The sequence below is a fragment of the Homo sapiens genome, chromosome 6 (genome assembly GCF_000001405.40).
Source record: "Homo sapiens chromosome 6, GRCh38.p14 Primary Assembly".
Taxonomy (NCBI): domain Eukaryota; kingdom Metazoa; phylum Chordata; class Mammalia; order Primates; family Hominidae; genus Homo; species Homo sapiens.
Window position 1 is genome coordinate 20,207,529 of NC_000006.12, and position 9,332 is coordinate 20,216,860.

The following is a 9,332-nucleotide window of genomic DNA, read 5'->3' on the forward strand; positions in this document are numbered from 1 at the left end:
TGTGGCCTACATGCTACAAATGCATTTTACATTTTAAAGGGTTAAAAAAAATCTAAGGAAGAACATTTCAAGACAGGTGAAAATTCCATGAAATTTAGATGTCAGGATCCATAAATAAAGTTGTATGGGAACTCAAGCCTTGACTACAAAGAGACTTCAAATTAGTTTGGAATTAAGCTTACAAACCCAGCAAGATAACTAACAATATAAGGTAACATTTACCAAGCATCAAATGTAAACAGTAAATTCTACATGAGTCCAGCATGTCCTGTGGGCATCCCTTCTCTGTTCCACGACGGCACCATCTACAAACCTGTGCAGTGCCTACGCAGGTCTGTGAGCATACACAGCCTATATACTTACATGGGCCTTTTGTTTCCTCTAGAGTATATAAGCCCTTGCAGGATGGGGACCTTGATTTTTTTCATCTTTGTATTTCTACCATATGGCCAGGTACCTGGCACTAATAGCATTAAATAAATATTTAATTGATTTAACAATGACTGGAATGTGAGCTGAGCTTTTAATGAAGGACAAGACTTAGATAAGAAGAGAACTGAAGGTTGGGCTTTGCAAGCATGGCCAAGGGAAGCAACCAGGACTGACAGATCCAGGTAGGTAAAGAAACTTTGTAGTCGGCCGGGCGTGGTGGCTCATGCCTGTAATCCCAGCACTTTGGGAGGCCGAGGCAGGCGGATCACAAGGTCAGGAGTTCGAGACCAGCCTGACCAAGATGGTGAAACCCCGCCTCTACTAAAAATACAAAAATTAGCCGGGTATGGTGGCGCGCTCCAGTAATCACAGCTACTCTGGAGACTGAGGCAGGAGAATCACGTGAACCTGGGAGGCGGAGGTTGCACTGAGCCGAGATCGTGCCACTGCACTCCAGCCTGGGTGACAGAGCTAGACTCTGTCTCAAAAAAAAAAAGAAACTTTGTAGTCATGGGCCCAGGTGAAATAATCAAACTCACTCCTGGTATCACCATTAGTCTGGAATGCCACGTCTTTAAAGCTGGTCTTCATTTATCCAGACTTGTAAATGGTGACACAAGCTTACATTAATAATCCTAAACCTTCGCTGTTTTAATCTCAAAATTATTTCCTGGATTCTTATCTCCTGGTCTATTTTCCCCTTGCCCCTTTTTCTGCTGATGCCAAATTAGGGGGAAAAAAAAATACCTCAGAGAGTCCTAGTGTAACACTGAATTCATACTTCATGCACACACACACAGTTTGGGGGCACCATCAGGTGAAATACCCCAAAAATGCTTTGCTGGTGGGCAGAATTTCCAACCACCAAATTGGAAGTTCCTTAAAGCCTGGAAACACTTTCCATTTCAGCTTTCACAGCTCCTAGGACATAATGACGTAACTGTGCACTACACAAATTACTAACATCAACATTATCATATCTGTTTTGGCAACTGAGTCAGTCTTGCAAACCTTTAGTTTAAAGGCACATTAAGTTACACTCCACAACCAAAACAAAGTGAGGAGGACAGGAGCAGATGATTCCTTGATTCCCCCAAAACAGGAAAGAAAAGTGCTTGCCCACTTTATCCTAAGTGAAGGTTTTTATTGGCATAATCCTACCACCTACCATAACTCCATATTTGCTCACTGGACAAGGGCCCATTATTTAGAAATAAAGTTTTCAACAACCTTATCTTTGAAGCATCTATAGAGGCCCCTAAGTCATCATCCCATTTCCTGTATTCTGCATCTGAATTATTATGCGCTATTTGTCTCTAATTAAGGGAGATAATTTTATATTTCACATCTTTAGGAGGATGTCAGACTAATCAAAATCCCTAAAACAAAAACCATAGACTTTTCCTGAGTATAGTCCTAACCACACACAGGCTTTCCTATTTAAGGATGCCACGAAGTTAACAGAACAGATAAATGGAAGAATCAGATGAAAAAGAATGAATAAAGAGTTCTTCACATACGAAGCAGAATGCTTACCAGGTATTTCCATTTTTGCTGATAATAAACTACTTGACACAGGATCCAGAGGCTAAAGACATTCACAGGAGTGCAATTAATCAGGAATTAGGATGTTAAGACATTAGGAAATGATTCAGTGTCCTTAAGAGGCATACAAAAAACTATTTGAGTAACTTGAGATATATATTTTATAATTTTGAGCATATCCCAGGCCAATCAAAAGTCACTCTCTAATGGGACAGGAGCAAACACGTATCAAGGCCTGCACTCTTATCCTCAGGTTACTCCCTAGATCTGCCTCCACCTTTATCCTCCCTATCCTGTGCCACAGGAGGAGCCCCTGCAGGCTGAGGCCTTGGGGGCCACTGTGAAGAGATGGAAGGGCTACAAGGTAGGAAGAAGGGCTGAGGTTCTCTCTCTGATTCTTCATGACCTCCAGGCAGGTCCAGCTCTCACAAATGGCAATGAAGTAACTCCACTTTCCCCTCCAGCTGCCCCCTACTTCTGATCTCAGCATCTCAACATCCTTTGTTGATTCCCTTAAACTTGCCCATACCCCTCTAAGTAATTCATTAAAGTCTGTTCATTTCAGCCAATGGGGTTGGTTCCCGTTTCCTGCAAGGACCCTGATACAAGAACCTTCCTAATGTCGGGCATTTCACATCATATAAAATTTCTCAACCTCAAAAGGTAGGTCTTATTGTCATCTCCCATTTTACATGAGGATGCTGAGTCTCCAAGAGGGTAGAGTACCAGCTGGCAGTCACAAAGGGAAGTTTGCTGGCAGAACTGGAATTGCACCCAGGTCAGTCTGACATCTAAGCCTTTAAAAAGCCTTAAAAATGTGAAAGGGAAAAAACACACAAAGCTTCCAAACTCGCAAGCCACAACGTAGCCTCAAACGACCTTATTTATGGTTTGGGGATTTTCCTTGGGCCTAAAATAAGCTACCTGGGGCACTGCCTTTTAAGTGCTTCTTCCACCAAGGGTCATCCACACTCACTCCTGCTGGAGGGTGGTCAGACTGACCTAAGAGCTAAGAGATCTCAGGTGCTCCTGGCCATGGCAAACATTTCTCCTTCGGTTTATCCCAGAAGTCTCTCCCTCCCTCCCTCCCTCCCTCCCTCCCAGTTTTAAACATTCCTAAGGCTCTTTTGTTCCTTTTTATGAATTAAAACCAGAATTACCTTTATAGGAAAGTAGGGGATGCAATTGAAAGACATTAAAAACATTATTCTAGCACCTCCCAGCCATAACTTGCCATGGTCCTTTAGCCATACAAAAAGCCTTCCTGGAGTCTTTCTAGCTGTGTAGAAGAGCTTAGAAGAGAAAATGCAATTAAAATACCTTCTGATAGGGAGTGGAGAGGTAAGTACAAAACAAACTCCCCTTAAGGAAATTCAGCTATGAGTTTTATTTAATTTCAGAACTAAAGAATTTGCTATTATGTCCGCCTCTGCCTGGGTCCCTGGGTCTATCTCATCCTCACCAGAAACTAAAGAGTAATTTACAAAAGCACAAATGCTTTGGCACCGAAACCCTTCCCAAGTTTCTGACTTTCTGTATTCTGCAACTGATGAGAACGCAATGGTCACATCAGGTGGAGTTCTCAGTCAGGTCCTCAGAGTGAGCCAGGTATGAGGGTGGCTCAGTAAACAGGACCCGAATAAGGCAAATGTCCAGGTCTCACTTTCTCATTGCTGAAGGGGTGTGCGCAAAGGGCAGCAGGTGTGCTCTTGTTAAAAGGAAAGGAAAAGGAGCACTGGTGAGAGGAAGGGGAAGAAAACCAGGCAAAAAAGCATGAAACAAAACAGGAGCGCAGTGGGTCCTCCCCCAGCATGCCCTGCCCAATTCTATTTAAATCAACATTTACTGATTGGGTCACTACTAAGTATCCCGCAGATCTAGCCTGCAGCACCTGAAGAGACAAGGAAATGAGTAAGACGGGCTTCATCTTCAGGAAGGTTTCTTGCCAGGAATCACTGTTGTTGCCATTTTTAATTTTAATGGTTGTAGATAATTCCTGGACAGTTCAAATAACTTCACTGGGGCCCCTCTCCTCCCCCTAACCTGTCCTACTCAGAAGCTCCAGCCCCAGGCATATGAGCCAACCGAACCCTGGGAAAACCAAAGTGTCCTTGTGTGTCCCGCATCACACACGGTACAAAATAACTGTCACCCCTGAACAAGCCTCGCCTCAGAAGTCTAAAACCCAGGTCCTGCATTCAAAATCTATAGACTACCGTCTACAGATTCATCGCGCTTGTTTTTTAAGTAGGGTCATCTAAATTAAAAACAATAACGACTTGAGGACACTGATGAAAGAAACACTGGTTTCATGTATCAGACTACTTCAGAACTTGATTACAGGAAACGAGGCAATCCCAAACTTAAAGAAAAAAAAGTTCAGTAGAACTTGCCGCGCAGGCTGTACCAATATTTTTTCACACTTACAAGGAGAAAAACACTAACACCAACTCAAGAAGGGAAAACACACACACACACACACACACACACACACACACAAAAACCAACTGTCTAGTGTGTGGCTGTAAAATACGCCATGGAGGCGGAGGGACGGTGGCTAACACTTTCGCCCGCCCCGTGCACGCGATCGCTGGGGAGCTGGGGTCGCTGCGCTCCCGGCCTGCAGTTACCTGGTCCAGCGGGATGCCCAGGAGCTCGCTGAGCGGGTGCAGGTAGGTGGAGCCCGTGGTGCGGTAGGAAAGGCTGGACGGCTGCGGCTCTGCTGCCATCCTGCATCTTCGGGAGGTGGCTGCCCCTGTCCCAGCCCGCAACACCCCCTGCTCGGCGTCCTCCCGCCCGGGTGCTCTTGGGTGGTTGCCCCGAGAGGCGCACGGCCGCCTGGTTCGCGGGGGAGCGAACGGGAGGCCGGGGAATGCGAACCGGCGCAAACTCTCGAGGCGCAAACTCTCGAGGCGCAAACTTGGCTTTGGCGCTGGCGCTGCAGCCACGGGCGCCGTAGGAGGGCCGGGCCCAAGGCGCCCCGCTTCCCGCTCCCTTCCTCTCCGCGCCCATTGGCCCGGCCGCTCGGGACGGCCCCGAGAGGAGGGAAGGAGGGAGGAAAAGTGGGGACTCCGAGCCCGGCCCCCAAGCGCCGCCCGGCCCGCCCAGCCTGGCCTGCACCGAGGCCGACCGGGAGAGGGAAAGCGACGCCAGCGGGCGCCGCCGCCTGGCCCTGCAGCTGGAGGCGGGACGCGCCTTTCCTCCTCCCGGGCTGACCGTCCTAGCCCCCCGCCAGACAAAACGACCTCACCCAGCGGGCGCCTTCCACTAGAGAGCACCACCCACCCCGCCCCACCCTGTTTTGGTTTCGCCGCCGCAGTCGAAGCGGCTGAGTGGCTGCGTTTCCCTTTCAAGCCGTAGAGGGTTCCTCTGCCGGTGGCTGGAAGCTGGAGCGCCGCAGCCACCAGACTCCCTACTTCCTTTACCCTCCTCTGCGCTAGGCATAGTTTCCTACACCCTGATCTGACATGTTCGGTGTCACACAAGCAAATACAGGGGACTGCTAGCTTCGGGTCACTTCCGTCTCTGTGGAGTGAGAGTTATTTCACCTCTGTAAGAAACGGTGTTTACTGTCATACTATGTGCATTCTGATAAGTCATTTGCATGCCACGGGTCCTCAAAAAGGGTGCCTTGCTCCTTAACTTGTCTGCCCCCGAACACCCACACATCAATGTTACTTGGAAAACTTTTCCAAGTTATTGCTAGGTTCTGAGAAACATAAAAATCTTGAAGATCCTTTTCAGGAATCGCTAGCTGATGAAAAAGGGTTTCAGGAAGGTAATATTCTGGGCTGCTGGGTAGAAAACCAAAGAAAGTGAGCTCACGTGGCCCCCAGCCTCCGCTGGGTAAACCGGCATTCGATCAGACAGGCAATGACTTTCGGGGCCGACTTTATCAATGTGGCCTCCAGCTTCAAATTAAACCGAAGGCCTGTCAGGCACTGGCAACAACTTACTCTCCAAGACTCAGGCCTCACTCTTGCCTTCTTCAGGAGTTTTATCACCATCAAACTGCACTGAGCATTAAATTGCCAGGCCAGAGTTTCTCAACCTATGTCCCCTGTGGAGGAGGAAAAAAAAAAGTCTGTACCACCACTCCCACAAGCTAACCGAATGGAGATGTCACCACCAGATGATAATCTCTACCACTCACAAGCAAACCCACACTACAGACAGACAGACACATGCACACACGCACACAGGCATATACTTGAGGATCACTAGGCTAGATAGGTTCATTTAATATCATAGAGTCCTGGAAAATGACCAGCATTGGAGCAACATTCATCTTATCTGGAGCTAGATGACAGCTGAAGTGAGGTATATGAGAGCAGACGGAGCTTTGTTTAAAAGGAAAAAAAAATCAACACTCAGATATGAGTTGCTGGAAAACAGAAGTAGGTCAGTTTGGGAAGTATTTCTGGAGCAAGTGCCTCAGACCCTTTATAATTTTCACAAAGCTATGCCTTTTAGACTTCAAAGAATAGTCCTCACATAGGCCATATATATATATGTGTGTGTGTGTGCGTGTGTATATATATTTATTATAAATATATTAATTTATATAATCATATATAAATATATTTATATATGTAAAGTTTTATATGTACATATATTAGCCTTACACAGGTTTATATATACATATATTACACAGTTTTTATATATATATATAACACAGGTTTGATATATACATATGTATATATGTATATGTAAAATATATACATGTATTAGCCTTACACAGGTTTTTTTCTCCCTAACAAAACACAGTTCATAACCTAGTCTAAATTTTTCTTTTAAAAATGGCCGGGTGCGGTGGCTTATGCCTGTAATCCCAGCATTTTGGGAGGCCGAGGCGGGCAGATCACCTGAGGTCAGGAGTTCGAGACCAGCCTGGCCAACATGGTGAAACCCCATCTCTACCAAAAAACAAAAATTAGCCAGGTGTGGTGGCAGGCACCTGTAATCCCAGCTACTTGGGAAGCTGAGGCAGGAGAATCGCCTGAACCCAGGGGACGGAGGTTTCAGTGAGCAGAGATCACGCCACTGGACTCCAGTCTGGCTAACAGAGCAAGACTCCATCAAAAAAAAAAATAAAAATAAAAATGTAGTAACTATGGTTAGAGCTTATAAACAAAATGTCACAGAACTTAATAGTTCTTTTCTCTTGATACTGTAGTACAATTAATGCAAAAAAAAATACTACTGTTGGATAACTCAGAACCAAGAGAGTAGCTCTGTTACACTACAGATGAATGAAACACACTTTGAAGAAGTTGTTTATATGAGTCCAAGATGTATAACAGCGGCACCATGGACACATTGCTCTTTTCCTTCATCAGTATCTCTATTTCCATCCTCTGTCAACTGTAGGTTCACAATAATTATTATCATATGTTAGAAATCACTTTACAAAAGCTGTTTCATTTACCAGTGCTAATAATCCTGTGGTAGTTATAAGAATCTATTTTATAGATGTGAAACCTGGGGTTAAGGGAGCTTAAGTGACTTGGTTGTATTTAGGGAGGTTAAGTAAAATGTGTCTGTCTGATTCCAGAGCCTGGGCTCTTTATTCATTATGCATTGCCTCCTCTAAAACATAGTATTTTTCTCTTTATCAAGAGGCCAGCCCACACACCTGATACAACCTTGTCATTTTTGTAGACGAGACATTACATTTACCATTCAAAATGAGGTGGTAGGGGTGATGCCACAGACACGCTGTCTCTCCTGTTTTCTATTTGCAGTAGAGTGAGGCTTGATATCAAGGTCAGTTTTATGAATCTTCCCTATGGAACCATGCTCAGAATGTGACATTATCCAGGAGATCCACTGCACATCCTGAAGACAGGTCAAAAAATTAAAGCCAGGCACAAAAAAACCTGAAAAAGATTCTAGCATATTGGGAAGGGCTGCATGTTACCATGGACTAATAAAAACTCTACAAACTGCTGTAGAGTCACTAGGCTTTGGCAGAGTGCCTAAGGAGTTCCTAAAGAAGTGAAGTATTCTGATTTTAAGTAGATAAACTCCATGCCATTCTATCATGGATATTCAGAGGCACTTTCCATTCTTCCTACTTCACATACCAAATCAAATCAAACAACATAACTGATAATCAAAGAACAAAACTGAATTAAATACATCCTCAAAGTTTACAAAGGTATAATCCCTCAAGGAGATAAAACTCTAATGATACCTTCAGTCTATATTCAACCAAAAACAATCACCAATAAAACTAAATTTAAGCCATCTGAAATGATATAACCCATGTAAAAAAAGAATTACCATTTTAATAATACTACATATTAATGTAATGATACTATATATTCACAGAGCACACTCACTTATCCCCTTTGATCCTCCCAACAACTCTATGAAGTTGGAAGGGCAGGTGTTATTATCATTTGTATTATCATGTCATCTCAATTTTTATTCAAATGAATACTGTTTCTAATAAATTGCAGCTAGCTTATCCATCTAGTAAACAGCAAGTGTAGGGTTCAAACTTGGGTATTCTACTGTTCTTTTTAACTATACAGAAATCTTTTTATTATACTTTTTATTATACTAGGAGTATAATACTATTTTCCTTCAGGAAAATAGCAGAAATTGTTGCCTGCATAGGACATTAAATTCCAGGCTTAACATTTGAGAGCTGATCTGAAGAATGGTCAAAATTGACCCATGATAGGTATCACCATTGTTTTCTGAGCAGTTTCTTTAAGCATCATCCACAAAGCTTCAGGTAATTTATGTTTTTCAATCAATGATGTATTCCTTCATGTTTTAGCTCAACTGATGTGTGTTTGCTTGGAACATATATTGCAACCTGCCTACCCAACATATTTTCCAAGCTTGGGATCACAGTTAAACATTGTACATGTTCAGAAAATGAAGAAACTAATATAACTGAACATCTGCCAGATTTAGCTATGACTGCTATGTTATAGCATTTTTTGCTTAAGAATACTGTATTAGACCAGGAATTAACAGGTGCAGTGGCTCATGCCTGCAATTCTGACACTTTGGGAGGCCAAAGTAGGAAGATGTCCTGAGGCCAGGAGGCCAAGAACTCAGCCTTTAGAGCAAAACAACCGGGTATGAAAAACCAGTACTGCCTTTTACTAGTTTGGGGACTTTGAGCAAATCAATGAACTTCATGAAGGCCCAGCTTCCTCCTCTGTAAAATAGGAATAAGAATAATGATCCCTTGCAGCAGGTCTAAGAACTGGAGGAGAGATTTTGTTCAAAAAACATAAAAGAACTGAAGCTTACCCTTTCTGCACTAATGTTTCATTTTTGCCTTAGTTTTAGGCAAGGGAGATCTTTCTAAAATGCATTGCACGTGACCCTGA

General features: G+C 43.8%; 1 protein-coding gene across 4 annotated transcripts in view, besides 2 other annotated features; it reads right to left on the reverse strand.

Annotated features, from left to right (window-relative positions):
* The window catches only part of MBOAT1 (membrane bound glycerophospholipid O-acyltransferase 1), a 112,786-nt gene extending 107,845 nt beyond the window's left edge, over positions 1-4,941 (reverse strand). For all 4 annotated transcript variants that reach the window (NR_073465.2, NM_001080480.3, XM_011514313.4 and 1 more), the window contains exon 1: positions 4,608-4,941. Coding sequence is in view for 3 of the 4 variants with exons in the window: in NM_001080480.3 (NP_001073949.1) it covers positions 4,608-4,706 (99 nt within the window). In the remaining variant the exon portion in view is untranslated. The remainder of the gene's footprint in view (positions 1-4,607) is intronic.
* Positions 4,747-5,286: a silencer, noted in NCBI's record as "silent region_16977". NCBI's record gives its function as "represses an Ori minimal core promoter by ATAC-STARR-seq in GM12878 lymphoblastoid cells {active_cell/tissue: GM12878}" and the evidence as "EXISTENCE:reporter gene assay evidence [ECO:0000049][PMID:35858748]".
* Positions 5,469-5,969: an enhancer, noted in NCBI's record as "H3K4me1 hESC enhancer chr6:20213228-20213728 (GRCh37/hg19 assembly coordinates)". NCBI's record gives its function as "activates a minimal SCP1, AML or CMV promoter by ChIP-STARR-seq in naive H9 embryonic stem cells {active_cell/tissue: H9 hESC(naive)}" and the evidence as "EXISTENCE:reporter gene assay evidence [ECO:0000049][PMID:30033119]".